General features: G+C 52.4%; 1 protein-coding gene across 6 annotated transcripts, besides 3 other annotated features; it reads right to left on the bottom strand.

Annotated features, from left to right (window-relative positions):
• Positions 1 to 8,106: 8,106 nt before the first annotated feature.
• On the bottom strand, positions 8,107 to 13,051 carry SBSN (suprabasin). Of its 6 annotated transcripts, none has more exons than NM_198538.4 (5): positions 12,647 to 13,051; positions 11,384 to 11,617; positions 9,599 to 9,664; positions 9,451 to 9,495; positions 8,107 to 8,273 (listed from the first exon to the last, which is right to left on the bottom strand). In NM_198538.4, exons 1-5 carry the CDS (start codon positions 13,019 to 13,021, stop codon positions 8,250 to 8,252), a joined length of 744 nt encoding a protein of 247 aa, NP_940940.1. In that variant the 5' UTR covers positions 13,022 to 13,051; the 3' UTR covers positions 8,107 to 8,249. The 6 variants fall into 6 exon arrangements, with proteins under 6 accessions (NP_940940.1, XP_011525232.1, XP_011525233.1 ...); XM_011526930.3 differs by having other exon boundaries at positions 11,384 to 12,407; positions 12,462 to 13,051; XM_011526931.3 differs by having other exon boundaries at positions 11,384 to 12,124; positions 12,233 to 13,051.
• Positions 9,961 to 10,633: an enhancer, noted in NCBI's record as "H3K4me1 hESC enhancer chr19:36016123-36016795 (GRCh37/hg19 assembly coordinates)". NCBI's record gives its function as "activates a minimal SCP1, AML or CMV promoter by ChIP-STARR-seq in primed H9 embryonic stem cells {active_cell/tissue: H9 hESC(primed)}" and the evidence as "EXISTENCE:reporter gene assay evidence [ECO:0000049][PMID:30033119]".
• Positions 11,755 to 12,256: an enhancer, noted in NCBI's record as "H3K4me1 hESC enhancer chr19:36017917-36018418 (GRCh37/hg19 assembly coordinates)". NCBI's record gives its function as "activates a minimal SCP1, AML or CMV promoter by ChIP-STARR-seq in primed H9 embryonic stem cells {active_cell/tissue: H9 hESC(primed)}" and the evidence as "EXISTENCE:reporter gene assay evidence [ECO:0000049][PMID:30033119]".
• Positions 13,702 to 14,202: an enhancer, noted in NCBI's record as "H3K4me1 hESC enhancer chr19:36019864-36020364 (GRCh37/hg19 assembly coordinates)". NCBI's record gives its function as "activates a minimal SCP1, AML or CMV promoter by ChIP-STARR-seq in naive and primed H9 embryonic stem cells {active_cell/tissue: H9 hESC(naive and primed)}" and the evidence as "EXISTENCE:reporter gene assay evidence [ECO:0000049][PMID:30033119]".

Genomic DNA, 16,982 nt, shown 5'->3' on the forward strand with positions numbered 1-16,982 from the left:
GTTGCCCAGGCTGAAGTGCAATGGCACGATCTTGGCTCACTGCAACCTCCGCCTCCCAGGTTCAAGTGATTATCCTGCCTCAGCCTCCCAAGTAGCTGGGATTACAGGCGCATGCTGGGCCTGTAATCCCACGCTGGGCTAATTTTTGTGTTTTTAGTAGAGACAGGGTTTCACCATGTTGGCCAGGCTGGTCGTGAACTCCTGACCTCGTGATCTGCCTGCCTCGGCCTCCCAAAGTGCTGGGATTACAGGCGTGAGCCACCGCACCTAGCCTCCAGCTAATTTTTTAATTTTTATTTTTGTGGAGATGAGATCTTGTTGTGTTGCCCAGGCTGATCTCAAACCCCTGGGCTCATACGATCCTCCTGCCTTAGCCTCCCAAAGTGCTGGGATGACAGGCATGAGCAAACAGTGGTATTACATTATGCTTGCTGCAGCTCCTGCACTCTCTTTGTTTTTTGTTTGTTTGTTTGTTTTGTTTCGAGATGGAGTCTCCCTCTGTTGCCCAGGCTGGAGTGCAATGGCGCAATCTCGGCTCACTGCAACCTCCACCTCCAGAGTTCAAGCAATTCTCCTTCCTCAGCCTCCCAAATAGCTGGGATTGCAGATGCACACCACCATGCCCAGTTAATTTTTGTATTTTTAGTAGAGACGGAGTTTGACCATGTTGGACAAGCTGGTCTCGAACTCCTGACCTCAAGTGATCTGCCTGCCTTGGCCTCCCAAAGCGCTGGGATTACAGGCATGAGCCACCACGCCCGGCCATGTGCCCTTTTTGTTAAGAAGGAAGATTAGCAAGTATGAAAGAGGTGTTCTGACTCACCAGCACAGCTGGACATGGGGTCTTTCTCAAAGGTAGGTCCAGGCCTCAAGAAAATAACACTAATAATAAATTTTTTCAAAAACTAAAATGAAGTCTTTCTCTTTAACATAGTCAGAGAGCTTAAAAGAAAATTGAGAAGAAAGTAAGTTTCTCCCTGTGTGATTCAGTTATTCAAAGCCGTGTCCATGGATCACCTCAATTCTCCCATGCCACCAACAGGCCTGTGTTCTACCTGCTAGGAAAAAATTGCCCCTCAGACATCGCTGGGCCTGAGGAGCCACCTCAGATCAGCCCTAGGGCATCCTTATTAAATAACTAGTGTGAACCAAATAAAATATTAGGTGCTTTCACATACATGATCTCATTGAATCCTCAATATGACCACAAGAGGTTAATATTATTCCCATTATACAGATGAGGTAACTGAGGCCCAAGTGGCTCAGCATCACACACAAAATCATATGTGAAAAGACTGTGGTAAAATAGAGTTGTCAAAACTTGAGCCAGGCACTTTGGGAGGCTAAGGCAGGTGGATCATCTGAGGTCAGGAGTTCAAGACCAGTCTGGCCAACATGGTGAAAACCCCCTCTCTACTAAAAATACAAAAATTAGCCGAACGTGGTGACAGGCACCTATAATCCCAGCTACTCAGGAGGCTGAAGCAGGAAAATTGTTTGAACCTGGAAAGTGGAGGTTGCAGTGAGCCGAGATTGCACCATTGCACTCCAGCCTGGACAACAGAGCGAAACTCCGTCTCAAAACAACAACAACAACAAAAAAAAACTTGAGCCAGGTCAGTCTGACTCCAAACAGCTTTCTCTCCTCCATCACCATGCCACCCATGTTCTTATGCGTGATGGCACCCACAAATCTGATATGCCTATGTCATGTCCAAGGCCCTCTGGTCTCAGCTCTTCTCTCTAATTCACATCATTCATTCAGCAAATATTTATGACTACCTGCTCCGTGACACGCCTATTCCAGACACTGGGGATACAGCCTAGAAACCATTCTCCAGCTGAGTGACACCTCATAATCCCAGCTCATGCCTGCAAGCCCAGCACTTTGGGAGGCCGAGGCAAGTGGATCACTTGAGGTCAAAAGTTCGAGACCAGCCTGGGCAACACAGAGAGACCCCAACTATAAAAAATGTTTTTGAAAAAGTAGTTGGATGTGGTGGTGCACACCTGTAGTTCTAGCTACTCCAGAGGCTGAGGTGAGAGGATCGCTTGAGCTCTGGAGGTTGAGGCTGCTATGACCACACCACTGCACTCCAGTCTGGGTGACAGAGTGAGACCTTGTCTCAAAAAAAGCATTCTCCTTGCAGAACTTACATTCATGGTGGGGGAAGTTAGGCAATAGGTGACAGAGAGGTGTTTTAAATAGGGTACTCGGGAAAGGCTCTTTGAGATGTGGCCTGTGAGCTGACCCCTGCAGGGAGTGGAAGAGTGAGCCATGGGGATTAGCTGGGGCTAGTGGATTCCAAGCAGGGGGAACAGCCATGCAAAGGCCTGGAGGCAGGAGCCTGCCTACTGTATTTGAGAACCATTGTGGCTGGAGCAGTGTTGGGATGGGAGAAGCTAAAGTCAAAGAGGGAAAGATCCTGGGGTCTTGCGGACTATTATGAAGACTGGCTTTTTTTTTTTTTTTTTTTTTTGAGACTGGGTCTTGCTCTGTCGCTCAGGCTGAAGGTCAATGGCGCAATCTCGGCTCACCACAACCTCCGCCTCCAGCGTACAAGTGATTCTCCTGCCTTAGCCTCCCGAGTAGCTGGGATTATAGGCGCCTGCCACCACGCCTGGCTAATTTTTGTATTTTTAGTAGAAACGGGGTTTCACCATGTTGTCTAGGCTGGTCTGGAACTCCTGACCTCAAGTGATCCACCCGCCTAGGCCTCCCAAAGTGCTGGGATTACAGGCGTCAGCCACCACACCTGGCCAACTTTGACTTTTATTTTTACTCTGAATGAGGTAGAACCAGCCAAGGGTTCTGGGCTGCCACGGGTGCTAACAGAGTTCCCCTAGGGAACTGATTGTTGGGGGTTGTGGAGTAGAGAGACCAGGGAGGAGGGAGATTGGAGGCTGGACTCAGTCTAGTGGGAAGATGAGGCTTTGGGGGTGGGTGATGTCTCTGCTCCCTTCTGGGGGGTCCCAGATCTCAAACTGGCACCTACAGTCTTACCTCTTCCACGGTGCCTATCCCAGAGCCTACATTCAAACCCTAGCTCCACCGCTTACTAACCATGATCTTAACCCATCTGTGCAACAGTTTTCTCATCTGTAAAGAGGGGTGAATGTGAGGATTAAGTGAAGTAATACATGTAAATTGCTTAGAGAAGTGTCTGCCACTCAGAAGCACTCAATATATGTTCTCGGCAGTGCTGGTCACATTGCTGTGGCTGGAATGCTTTCTTGGCAGTTGTTTAATCTTGTGACACACACATGCACACATCCTGAAAATGCCAGATGCATGGCTCATGCCTGTAATCCCAAAACCGTGGGAGGCCAAGGAGGGAAGATTGCTTGAGCCCAAGAGTTCCCGACCAAGCTGGGCAACATCGTGAGACCCTGTCTCTACAAAAAATACAAAAATTGCCAGGGTGTAGTGACGTGTGCCCATAGTCCCAGCCACTTGGGAAGCTGAGGCACACGGATCACTTGAATCCAGGAGGCTGAGGTTGCAGTGAGCCATGATTACGCCACTGCACTCCAGCCTGGACAACAGGGTGAGACCCTGCCTCAATTAAAAAAAAAATGCCAGATGCAGAAACTTACTTTTAAAGAACACTCATTTGGAGCCAGGAGAGGGTAGCTCTCACCTGTAATCCCAGCACTTTGGGAGGCCAAGGCAGGCAGATCACCTAAAGTCAGGAGTTCGAGACCAGCCTGGCCAACATGGTGAAACCTCATGGCTACTAAAAATACAAAAATTAGCCAGGCGTGGTGTGCGCCTGTAATCCCAGCTACTTAGGAGGCTGAGGCAGGAGAATCTCCTGAACCCGGGGTTCGGAGGTTGCAGTGAGCCAAGATCGCACCACTGCACTCCAGCCTGGGCAACAGAACAAGACTCTGTCAAAAAAAAAAAAAAAAAAACCCACTCATTTGGATGTAGCCCCCTCCCGCTTCCTGGGGGTCGCAAGGGCAGCATGCCACCTCACTGCTAGAGATGTTCAGCAGGGAAGTGCCCTTGAACTGGAGCCTGGCCATCACCACTGACTAGCAGGGTGGCCTCAGGCAACACGCTCCGTTCCGTGCACCTCTTCTTCAACATCTGTGAGGGCAATGATCATGGTACTTGCCTCCCGGATGGTTGTGGGGATGAAATGAATCATGCCTGTAAGTGCTTAGCACAGACCCTGTAAAAGATGCCCGGTGAGAGCCACACCCAAACTCCTCTCCCTGTTCTTCAACATCCTCAGAAACCGGCCCTTCCTCTCTGTGTTTCTCCCTAGCCTGGCTCCACCCATCTCAGGCAAAGCAGCCTGTGTCTTGCTCACACTCGTTCCATGGCCCTTCCCAACCTGCTCAAGTCAGTGGCTTCCCTTCTGCTCCTTGCCAGACATTCATGCCTGGCCTTGACATCACTGCTTGAACCTCTTTGTCTGGGGGGAAATGGATACGATATTTGTAATATGATTACAGATTGTCATAACCAACAAGAAAAACAAGATCAGCGCTATGAGAGAGAGTGACAGGGTGGCCGTAGCTCAGGTTGAGCGGTCAAGGTAGCTGAGATGCAAAGGGTAGGGAAGAGCCAGTATGAGGGGCCGAGGGGCATGGAGAGTGTTCCTAGTAGAGGGAACAGCACAGAAGACCTCCAGGCAGGAGAGAGCCAGGCGTCTTTTACCCTCAAAACCGACTCAAAGCTCTCCTTTTTCAGAAGCTTCCCAGGACTGACTCAGTGCCTATCAATTATCTTGTATCTCTTTGGTATTTTCAGGACCCCCATCCAAGCAAACCCAGCAAGAAAATGTGCCTAAAAAATAGTCAGTCAGCCGGGTGATGGCCAGGCGCGGTGGCTCACGCCTGTAATCCCAATACTTTGGGAGGCCAAGGCGGGCGAATCAACTGAAGTCAGGAGTTCAAGACCAGCCTGACCAACATGGTGAAACCCCGTCTCTACTGAAAATACAAAAATTAGCTGGGTGTGGTGGCGCGCACCTGTAAGGGAGGCTGAGGCAGGAGAATTGCTTGAGCCTGGGAAGCAGAGGTTGCAGTGAGCCGATATCACCCCACTGCAATCCAGCCTGGATGAAAAAGCAAGACTCTGTCTCAATATATATATATACATACACATATATACATATATATACACGTATATATATACACACACATATATGTATATTTTTTTAAATAAAAATAAAGTCAATGAAAGCTTTTACTTCAAGAAAGAAAGAGTCCCTTGAATGTTGCCTTTTCGAAAGCCGCCACTATAGGATTCTTTTAAGTAGGGCCTCCCCCAATACCTGTGAGATGATGTCCAGCACGGAGCAGACCCTCAATCAGTATCTGACATGAATGGAAGGTTCTATTTATATCAGTGCAGCAAGCAGCTGGGTGCTGTGGCTCACACCTGTATTCCTAGCACTTTGGGAGCCTGAGGCAGGAGGATTGCTTGAGCTCAGGATTTCAAGACCAGCCTGGGCAACATTATGAGACCCTCGTCTCTACAAAAAAAAATTACAAAATTAGCCAGGCATGGTGGTGTGTGCTTGTAGTCCCAGCTACTTGGGAGGCTGAGGTGGGAGGATTGCTTGAGCCCAGGAGATTGAGGCTGCAGTTAGCCATGACTGTGCCACTGCACTCCAGCCTGAACGATAGACCAAGACTCTGTCTCAAAAAATAAATAAGACAAAATGCAGCAAATATAATGTTTACAGTTTACTTTGAAATACATCAAAAATGTTTGATATGGGGCTAAATGGACAGATGTGTGACCAAGCAAGTATGGTAAAATCTAAGTGGTGAGAATTCTGGTGTTCACTATAAAATTCTTTCATCTTTTCATGATGCTTGAAATGTTTTCAAAATAAAATATCGCAGGGGGAGGGAAGGAGCATATGTAATGAAATGATGGTATTCCACAAAATAAGGGAAAATGCAGTGACTATAAAGTGAGGAACGTCCCATTTTTTGCACAAATGCAGGCCCCTCCCCTTGCCGGTCATTGAGCTCTTATTGATGCGTGGCTTTGTGTGTTTGCATTCACATTCTGTTTATAGGCCTTGCCTCCCAGGAAGGCTGTGAATTCCCCAAGGGCAAGAACACTGTCTATTATTTTCAGTCCCCCATTGATGGAATTTTGTAGCTGGAAGCAACAGTTGTCGAATCCCTGCCTCCCTTTATACAGGAGGAAATCGTGGCCCCTAGAGGGGAAGTAGGCGGCCTTCAGGCATCTTGCTCCCGATTGGAACGCAAGTCTCCCAGCACCCAGGCTAGTGCCTGGGAGTGTTACAGAGACTTCACCGGGAACCACGAGAAGTCAGGTGCTGGCGACAGACGGAGCCAGACCCAGGCCTGCTGCTTTCTCTGTGGGCGCCCTTGTCCCACTGAGCCGCAGCATCCTCATCCATACAACGGTGACGATAACAGGGCTTCTGCCTTTGGGTTGTGGGAGACTTAAAGAGTTAAAGAACATGAACAGGCCAGATGAAGTGGCTCATGCCTGTAATCCCACCACTTTGGGAGGCCGAGGCAGGAGAATCCCTTGAGCCCAGGAGTTTGAGAACAGCGTGGGCAATATAGTGAGGCCCTGTCTCTACCAAAAAAAGAAAAAAAAAATTTTTTTTTGAGACAGGGTCTCACCCTGTCACCCAGGCTGGAGTGCAGAGGTGCAATCTCGGCTCACTGTAACCTCCACTTCCCAGGTTCAAGTGATTCTCCTGCCTCAACCTCCTGAGCAGCTGGGATTACAGGCACGCGCCACCACACCCAGCTAATTTCTTTTTTGGTATTTTTAGTAGAGACAGGGTTTCACCATGTTGGTCAGGCTAGTCTCGAACTCCTGACCTCATGATCTGCCAGCCTCGGCCTCCCAAAGTACTGGGATTACAGGCATGAGCCACTGTGCCCGGCCAAAAAAATAATTTTTAATTAGCCAAGTGTGGTGGTGTGTGCCTGTAGTTCCAGCTACTCAAGAGGCTGAGGTGGGAGAATCCCTTGAGCCCAGGAGTTTGAGAACAGCCTGGGCAATATAGTGAGACCCCATCTCTTAAAAAAAAAAAAGAAAGAAAAAGAAAATTTGATGAGCCAAGTGTGGTGGCGCGTACCTGTAGTAATTCCAGCTACTCAAGAGGCTGAGGTGGGAGGATTTCTTGAGCCCAGGAGGTCGAGGCAGCAGTGAGCCATGATCGCATCTCTGCACTCTGGCCTGGGCGAAAGAGCAAGATTCTGTCTCAAAAAAAAAAAAAAAAAAAAAAAAAAAAAGAATATGAACAACTCTGGACACGGTACCTTGAGTCTAGCAAGTGCTCTATGCTCAGTAATTGTAATCATTGTTCCTCTGGGCTTTGAATGGTCCACAGATCTGAAAATGGGGCCTTCTGTGCCCCTACTCAGGTGGCTCCTGTCACCAGCATGTCTTCCACCTGAGCCTTCCATCCTTCTCCCTCTTTCCCCTGAGAGGATCCCCAGCCCCATCCCGTGTCTCACTTTTCTTATTCACCAATTCTCCTTCTCTGCTGACGCCAAAGGGCAAAGACCTCTGTTTTTCCAGAATATCCTTTGTAGCTCTTCACTGTTTCTCTCCTTCCACTTACTGACTGTGTAAACTTGGTCATGTTTCTTAATGTGTGCAAGCGCCCACGTGCTTCTCTATAAAATGGGGCAATAACAGTCCCTTTCACCTAACTGGGGGGTTGGGAGGAGTCAATGATGTCATGCAGGTAACGCACCTGGCAGGCAGCCTGGCAGGTCTTAACTGCACAATAAATACAAGTTATTGTTGTTATTATTTTGGCGCCCCCCACCCCCTTGACTGAGGATGCTACCTCCTGGGCCCAGACCATTCTCTCCCGGTGTGTCTGTCCCCACGAGTGGCCTGCAGTGGTTTTCCCTGCACGAGTCCTCCTGCCAGTAGCCAGCACGAACTTTGCACCCCAGCAAAGCGTGGTTTGTCCCCATTACCCGCCCTCTTACAGCTAATCAGCCTGAAATCTCCAGCTCAACCCACCCTATGCCTCAGACACTCCGACTCCTTCAGCAAAGTAACAAGAAAAGACAAGGCCCTCCTGCCTCCCTGTCCATCCCTCCTTAGGGAGCCCAGGGGACCACAATGAGACAGCATAGTGTATCAAGTTTATTCACAAATCCCAGTACAACCCCCTTCAGGGATTTCAGAAACCTGTCCCCCACCCCCAACCCCTCCAGGTCATGTCAGCTGATGTGACAACGGCGACATTATTCTCCCAGCAAGGCCGGATGCCAGTTTAGGGCATGATGTTGGCGACGCTCTGGAAGAGAGAAGGAGAGCAGGGGTGAATGTAGGGTCCACAGTCATGACGGGACCCGAGACCTCAGCCCCGCCCCTCGGGAGAAGCACAAGGGGACTGGCTGCTCTGGCCCCGGAGTTATGTTCTGGGGAAGTTTCAGGAAGGTAGCATCTAAACTTAAGAACACAAGGAAGCCAGTCCCCACAGGCAGAGGGGCTGGGGCCTCTGCAGGAACCAACAAGCCTCGTGTGTTTAGCCTGAGAGGATGCTCTGCCGCCCCCATAGCCTGGGATACACAAGGGTGGGCCTTCCTCCTCCGTGATACACCCTCACCCTGGCCTGCACCAGGTCTCGGGCAGCAGATACAATAAGTGCAAAAAGAGGCTGGGTGCAGTGGCTTACGCCTGTAATCCCAGCACTTTGGGAGGCTGAGGAAGGAGGGGATCACTTGAGATCAGGAGTTCGAGACCAGCCTGGCCAATATGGTGAAACCCCTGTCTCTACTAAAAATACAAAAATTAGCTGGGCATGTTGGCGCACACCTGTAATCCCAGCCACTCAGGAGACTGAGATAGGAGAATCACTTGAACCCAGAAGACGGAGGTTGCAGCGAGCTGAGATTGCACCACTGCACTCCAGCCTGGGAGATAGAGTGAGACTCCGTCTCAATAAATTAAAATAAAGAAAGAGAGTCAGGAGTTTACTTTGAGCCCCAACTGGGAACCAGGATTCCATAGGAGCCTCTGCACTGGGGTGACCTTGCACCAGGGAGAGGACAAAGACACAGGCTCCCCCTCCCAGCATGAAGCAAAGGCATTTGCAGGAGGGTTGGGACAGGAGGGAAGCCAGTCAGCAAATGGGAATCGAGGAATGACAAGGAGAGAGAGGGAATGAGAACAGTCAGCAGCCCCTCCTCCCTCCCTGGCTCCCAGGGGCACCAGGGCCTGGGAGGTCTTTTCTGCCAGCTTGTGTTTGCCTTGGTGGAAATGAAAGGCACCCAAAAGATGAGGGCAGGGTGCAAAGGGGAGGGAGCAGGTGGAGAGAGGGAAGCCCAGGACTGGGTATCAGGTTGGAGGGTCTTTGCAGAGGCTGCAGGTCTGCCCGCCCGGGGAGCTGTCCAAACAGACACCGGGAAGGGGTCGGGGTGAGCGTATCTATCAGGACGCAGAGCAGAAAAGAGACACCATGGGGCACTCACCCTCCACAGGGCGGGAAGGTTGATGAAAGGCGTGTTGACCGAGGCCTGCAATTCAAGGACAAGAAGGTCAGTCTCCAGCGTCTGACCCACAGCCATGCTAGGGAACTCCCAGGGGCCTCCTCTCCCCTACCCCAGAGTCCGCGCTTACCCCAGAGGCTAACGGCGTGGTTGTGGCCCCTCCTTGATGGCTGGAAGATCCGCTTTGATGGTTGCCCTGTGGACAAAGCCCAGACTCTTGTTACAACCCCACAAACGCGGAGGGTCTCCCAGTTCCTTTTCCCCAGGGACCTGGTCCCCTCCAGGGTGACTGGGGCTGCGGTGGGAGGCACAGCTTAACCCACTGCCTCCTCACTGTCCAGAAGAAAACCCAAAGCCCGTGCTCGCGTGGGCATTCTGCCTCCTGCTGCCTTTTCCTCCCCAAAGCCCCTTTTAATTTCCTTAATGAAGTGCTCTCAGTCATGGAGGAGGGGCTGGTGGAAAGGGAAGGTAGAGGACCCGTGACAAACAATATCAGGACCTAGTTTAACCTCAGCCCTGACCTCAAATCTACCCTTCTATGCCCTGTCTAGCTGCATCCCTAACTCCACTGATCCTTGTCCTTAACCCAGCCCCAGACACTCAGCCATGCACCCCAGCAGTGCCCCCAACCCCGGCTGCTGTTGCCAGCCCCAAATCCTACAGTGCACCGTCCTCTGCTCGCGGCACCCTGCAGCCTGCCGTGCCCGCTCCTCTGCTGCGCCGTTCCTCCCCACCCACCCATCCCTGGCTCTGTCTGGCGGCAGATGTGGCTCTGGACTTCGACGTCTGAGCCAGTCACATCTTGCAGATCCAGGACCCCTCATGGAGCCTGGAGAGTGAGGGCGCACAGGAGTCCACCCTCTCCTGCTCCCCACGCTCCCTTCTTGGTGCCTGTTCTGTTGTGAGTGGTGCTATTTGCCTGCCTCCAGTCTCTGTTCCCTCTACATATTTTATTTTATTATTATTTTTTTTGAGACAGAGTCTCACTCTGTTGCCCAGGCTGGAGTGCAATGGTGCAATCTCAGCTCACTGCAAACTCCGCTTCTCGGGTTCAAGGGATTCTCCTGCCTCAGCCTTCTGAGTAGTTGGGATTAGAGGCGCCAGCCACCACACCTGGCTAATTTTTGTATTTTTAGTAGAGATAGGGTTTCACCATGTTGGCCAGGCTGCTCTTGAACTCCTGAGCTCAAGTGATCCACCTGCCTCGGCCTCCCAAAGTGCTGGGGTTAACAGGCATGAGCCACTGAACCTGGCCTCTGTTCCCCCTACATAAATGGGTAAGAGAAACCTTCCAGAAAACCTCTCCTGGCTGGGCAGTGCAGGGGAAGAGAACCCTGGCCTGCCCTCTGCCAAAGCTGGGCACTAGCCACAGGACTTTGGCACGTCCCCTAACCTCTCTGAGCCTTTGTTTCCTTATCTGAGAATCAGGGCGTCAGCAGCCTCATCTTGACCACATCAGAGGGTAGTTACAAAGATTACACAGGCCAAGGCTCATCTCCGAAAGCTATTCCTCATGCTCACTCTCCTAACCAGGTTTTGTCAACACTCAGTCCCTTTGCACTATACTAGATCTTGATCTCAGGAACTGTTTCCCATTCCCCAGGAAGGGCTTCATGGGCCCCACTTGAGGCCCCCTTAACCAGGAGGGCAGCTCCCTGAAGGTGGGACAGGGTGCCCGCCACCCTGTCTGATACGTGCTTTGCAGATAAGGTGGCTCACCCCATCTGACCAGCTGCCACCAGCTCCTTTGTAAGGGAGATGGGGAAGGGGGAGGAACCCAGTGATATAGCTGCCCAAGCTTCTTTCACCAAACAAAGGCTACGCGGACCCCCCCGCCCCGCCAAATGTCCCAGGGGTTTAACCTTTCCCTCCCCCAACCCCCCTGTCCCCCATCTCCCCATCCCTGTTCACCTACATTCAGCAGCTGGTTGGCCTCCTTGCTGGCTTGGTTGACCCCATTATGAGCATTCTGCAGCTCCTTCCCGGCCTGGCCAGCAGCATGGTGGGCACCTTGGCCAAGCTTCTCCACTTCCTTTCCAGCCTGGTCAGCAGCATGGTTGACCCCTTGGCCAAGTTTCTCTGCTTCCTTCCCAGCCTGGTGGACCCCAGTGTGGAACCCTTGGACCGCTTTGTCTGCTTCCTTCCCGGCCTGTTCAAGGGTATGGTGAACTCCCTGGCCAAACTGCCCTGCCTCCTTCCCGGCCTCGTGGACCCCAGGTTGGACACCATGAACTGCTATGTCTCCCTCTTTCCCAGCCTGCCCTGCTGTGTGGTGAATGTCGTGGCCAAACTGCCCCGCCTCCCTTCCAGCCTGACTAACGCCATGATGGAGGCCTTGGACCACTCTGTCTTCCTCCTTCCCCACCTGCGAGGCAGCATGGTGGACACCCTGGCCAAACTTCTCTGCTTCCTTCCAGGCCTCATTAACCCCATGGTGGACCCCATGGCCGAGCTTCTCTGTTTCCTTCCCAAACTGACTGGCAGCATGGTGGACCCCCTGGCCAAACTTCTCTGTCTCCTTCCAGCCCTCACTGAGACCATGGTGGACCCCCTGGCCAAACCTCCCAGCCTCATTTCCGGCCTGCCCCGCAGCATGGTGGGCCCCCTGGCCAAATCTCCCTGCCTCATTTCCGGCCTGCCCCGCAGCATGGTGGGCCCCCTGGCCAAACTTCTCTGCCTCCTTCCCAACCTGACCAGCAGTATGGTGGACCCCCTGGCCAAACTTCTCTGTCTCCTTCCAGCCCTCACTGAGACCATGGTGGACCCCCTGGCCAAATCTCCCTGCCTCATTTCCGGCCTGCCCCGCAGCATGGTGGGCCCCCTGGCCAAACTTCTCTGCCTCCTTCCCAACCTGACCGGCAGCATGGTGGATCCCCTGGCCAAACTTCTCTGTCTCCTTCCAGCCCTCACTGAGACCATGGTGGGCCCCCTGGCCAAATCTCCCAGCCTCATTTCCGGCCTGCCCTGCAGCATGGTGGACTCCCTGGCCAAACCTCCCAGCCTCATTTCCGGCCTGCCCTGCAGCATGGTGGACTCCCTGGCCAAACCTCCCAGCCTCATTTCCAGCCTGCCCTGCAGCATTGTCGACTCCCTGGCCAAACTTCCCTGCCTCACTTCCCGCCTGGTTGGCCCCGTGATGGACCCCATGATGGATCAGTTTGTCTGCCTCCTTCCCAACCTGTCCAGCAGCGTTGTTGACCCCATGGCCAAGCTTCTCTGCTTCCTTTCCTGCTTGTCCAATACCATGGTTGATCTCATGGGCAACCTTGTCCATGCCGTGGTTGAGCCCCTGGACGCCTTTGTCCAACTCCTTGCCGGTGTGGCTCCCCATGTTGCTAAGTCCGTTGAAAACCTTCTCCACTTCCCTTCCGGCATGCGTGATTCCACTGTTGATGCCATCCAGGGCCTTGCCCACCTCTCTCTCTGCATTGCTCAGCCCTCGGTTGATCCCTTCAATGACCTTCTCAATGGGGTCATCGCTGGCCGCCCATCCAGACAGGGCCCCCAGTAGCAGAAGGAGGGAGCAGGAGCCGACCAGACGTGCAAGATGCATATTGCTGGGAAGGTCGGGAAGGATGCAGAGAGGAGCCAGGGAAGCCACGCTGCTATTTATCCTCTCTCCCTCTCGCCCTCTTCTCCACCCCTCATGACTCAATTACCCCTGTGAGGCACTGAGTTGGTCTTCAGTCAAGGAGGTGTTTCCCAGGGAGATTTGGAGTTGAGCAATGGAGAGGAGGAGGAAGAGAGGGTGAGTCATGGATGGAGAAGAACTCTGGCATCTTTGCTCCTTGCCCTCCACCCCAGAGATGGGTGTCTGCCCTTCCAACCACCTCCTCTTTCATTCCTCACCCACTGTCCAGGCCTCCTCTCTCGCAAACCCACCTTCCACCATGCTCCATCCCTGGGATGCAGGCAATTCTTCAACACCTCACTCCTCTCAGGCATCTAAGCCTCCAGCTCCCCAGGCAGTGAGGGGCTAGAATGATGGGAGGCACCGTCTGGAGAGGGGAGAACACTAGGTGGGATGAAGGAGTCATCAGACCTCGTTCTTGTGGGCCAGCCCCTGCCCTCACTCATTCCATTCCAGCCACACAGGCCTTCTCCCTGTTCCACAAACACACCAAGCTCATTCCTGCTGCAGGGCCTTTGCACATGCTCCTCTCTCTGCCTGGAATGCAGAACCCAGATCTTCACGTGGCTGGCTCCTCCTCATCCGTACTTGACTTAAATGCCAACTTCGCAAGAAAACCTCTCCTGACCATAACATGGCATTAATTATACTCTGTAGTATCACCCTTTTGTTTTCACAGAAAAAAAAAATCTGAAATTACCTTTATTTTTTATTGCCTGTCTCACCTACTAGCAATGTAAATTGGTCGTGTTGATCACTGCTGTATTCCTAGCTTCTTGAACACTGCCTGGGGTTCAGTAAATATTTATTGACTGGACAAATGGATGGATTCGAACAGGCCAAGGAAAGAGACTCCGAGCCCGAGTCTGGGTCTCACAGGGTGCTGGAGGGAAGGGCGCCTGGGTCGCCAGGGCAGCATAGAGTCCCTTGTGGAGTGCCGCAGATTTTGGAGGCAGGATCCCATTCCTGTCGCAGAACCCAGACCTCCTGCCTCCCAGCCCTTGGGCAAGGGCAGGGGGCTGATTGCCACGAGCTGGAACAGGACGCAGTGTCTCCTGAAAAGCCGGTTGAGGCAGCCACGGGGAGGGGCCGAAGACCCAGGGCAGCAGGAGCCTGTGAGCCAGAACCTGGGCTGGGGCCAGGCCCTCATCCTTCCTGCCCTCCCGACATGGGGCCTCCTAAGCCCCAACCTGAAGCCCCAAGTGTTGACATATTGGCTCGGGTTGGAGGGGAAACAGCTGAGAGTCTGGCCTCAGGCATGAAAAGGGCATCGGAAGGAAGGGCAGGTGGTGGTGGGCAGGCTTGGGGCAGCAGATGCATCTAGAAGCCAGTTGGGAGGGAGGCTAAGACCAGAACGAGAGCCAGTGGGTGGGTACAGTAGGTGCAGGGGTGAAAGATATTTGGGTTTTGGTGCCAAGGGGAGAGACTGAGAGAGGGGTGGAGGTGGGATTGCTGGTGGGAAGGCCAGGCAGGAACAATGTGCAGGGTGTGAGCAGCTGGAGGTGGCAGAGCTATGTGTGTGGGTGCCCAGGTGTGGCGAGAATCTGCACGTGTTTTCAGGCTTTGCTCAAACAAAGGCGCCAAGGCCCACTCCCCTCAGAGGACCCGGGGTTCCTCTCCAGCTCCTGGACACTTGACTCCACCCAAAGACAGGCATCCCAGGACAGATATCCAGAAGCTTCTGCCTTCTCTGGGCTCTGCCTATAGAGGGTGACTAAGTGTGCCACCTCTCCAAGCTTGAGCTCATCAAATCTGTTTCCCGGTTTCACACTCCAGGGACAAAGCCAAATTCCTGGGCAAACTCAGGTGTGGTTTTTCTGCCCTGGTCCAGGGCCGAAATGATGGAGTTTCCCATACCAGGAGGTGGCTGGGCAGAGAAGAGTGGGTGATGAGTGTCAGAATCCTAACCCACCCAGAGATCAAGAGGTGGGATTTCTCCCACTTTGAACTGTGTTCCATCTTCTTTTTGTGTTTTTGGAGGGAGAGTCTCACTCTATCCCCCAGGCTGGCATGCAGTGGCATGATCTCGGCTCACTGCAACCTCCGCCTCCCGGGTTCAAGTGATTCTTCTGCCTCAGCCTCCCGAGTAGCTGGGATTAGCCGGGCACCTGCCATGATGCCCAGCTAATTTTTGTACTTTCAGTAGAGACGGGGTTTCACCATGTTGGCCAGGCTGGTCTCGAACCCCTGACCTCAGGTGATCCGCCCACCTCGGCCTCCCCAAGGGCAGGGATTACAGGCGTGAGCCACTGTGCCTGGCCTGAACTGTGTTCCATCTTCTCTATCCCTCTCCACCCCATCCTTTCATCTTCTGCCAGCCTCAGTCCCTCTCCTCTGTCTCTCTATTCCCATGTGGCACGATTCGATTCAGGACTTCAGCATCTGGCTCCATAACTGAGAATGGCCTGGAGTTGTCCTTTCTTTATTTTATTTATTTTTTTTATGAAGTATCACTCTGTTGCCCAGGTTGGAGTGCAGTGGCAATCTCGGCTCACTGCAACCTCCGCCTCCCAGGTTCAAGTGATTCGCCTGCCTCAGCCTCCCGAGTAGCTAGGATTACAGATGCATGCCACTACACCTGGCTAATTTTTGTATTTTTAGTAGAGATGGAGTTTCACCATGTTGGCCAGGCTGGTCTCAAACTCCTGACCTCAGGTGGTCTACCTGCCTCGGCCTCCCAAAGTGCTGGGATTACATGTGTGAGCCACTGCACCCAGCCAAAATCAGCCCCTTTTGAATCCTGGTTTTGTTGAGGTTATATTTTTCACCTCCTTGATTGTACACCAAAATGTAGCTCCCTTTGTTTAATTAATCATCTGTGTTTTGGTCTCGGTTCGTTAAAACCTCCTCACCTGTACACTTAGTTTACTTTCTTCTCCCAGGCCATCAAAGCAGGAGAGCCTCACCCTGCCCTGGTCCCATGGCAGGTGCTTGGCAAATGAATTTCTCATGGATGTTGGCGGAAGGAAGAGGTTATGTCATTCTGCCCCTTCTTGCATCCATCCCTCTCTGGGATGGTGACTCCTTCCTGGCACAAACCCCCACTCCCCCTGAACCTTGGTCACAGCTGCGTGTCAACCTGCTGTGCAGGTGATGGTGCCTGCCTGTGAGTCACTGAGGTGCAAGCAAACCCCTACCCCGGGGCTGCAGGGGAGGGAGCTGTTTGTCCACTTGTTCTTTGTCAGACGTTCATTGAAAACCTGCTTTGTATTGTTCTAAGTGCTGGAGGCACAGTCGTGAACAAACAAACAAGAACAGGAGCCCTGTGAGGGGCTTAGAGCCCAAGGGGGAGACATCGAACAAATAAACCAATCAGTAGATCATGACAAACTACATGAAAAGCTACAAGGAAAAGAATGGGTGCTGCGAGAAGATATAACGTGAAGAGTTTGATAAGATTGGCGATCAGGGCCGGGCGAGGTGGTTCACGCCTGTAATCCCACCACTTTGGGAGGCCGAGGCAGATGGATCACCTGAGGTCAGGAGTTTGAGATCAGCCTGGCCAACATGGTGAAACCCCGTCTCTACTAAAAATACAAAAACAAAAAAAAAATTAGCTAGGTGTAGTGGCGCACGCCTGTAGTCCCAGCTACTCAGGAGGCTGAGGCGGGAGAATCACTTGAACCCAGGAGGCGGAGGTTGCGGTGAGCTGAGATCGCACCATTGCACTCCAGCCTAGGCAACAAGAGCGAAACTCTGTCTCAAAAAAAAGAAAAGAAAAGAAAAGATTAGCGATCAGATGAAACCTGAGGAATTGACATTTATTCATTCAGGTATAGTTTATTGGGCTAACGCCTTTTTCAGACAGGGTCTTGCTCTGTCTCCCAGCTGGAGTGCAGTGACACAATCACAGCTCACTGCAGCCTTGACCTCCTAGGCTCAA

Source organism: Homo sapiens, chromosome 19 (genome assembly GCF_000001405.40).
Source record: "Homo sapiens chromosome 19, GRCh38.p14 Primary Assembly".
Lineage (NCBI taxonomy): Eukaryota > Metazoa > Chordata > Mammalia > Primates > Hominidae > Homo > Homo sapiens.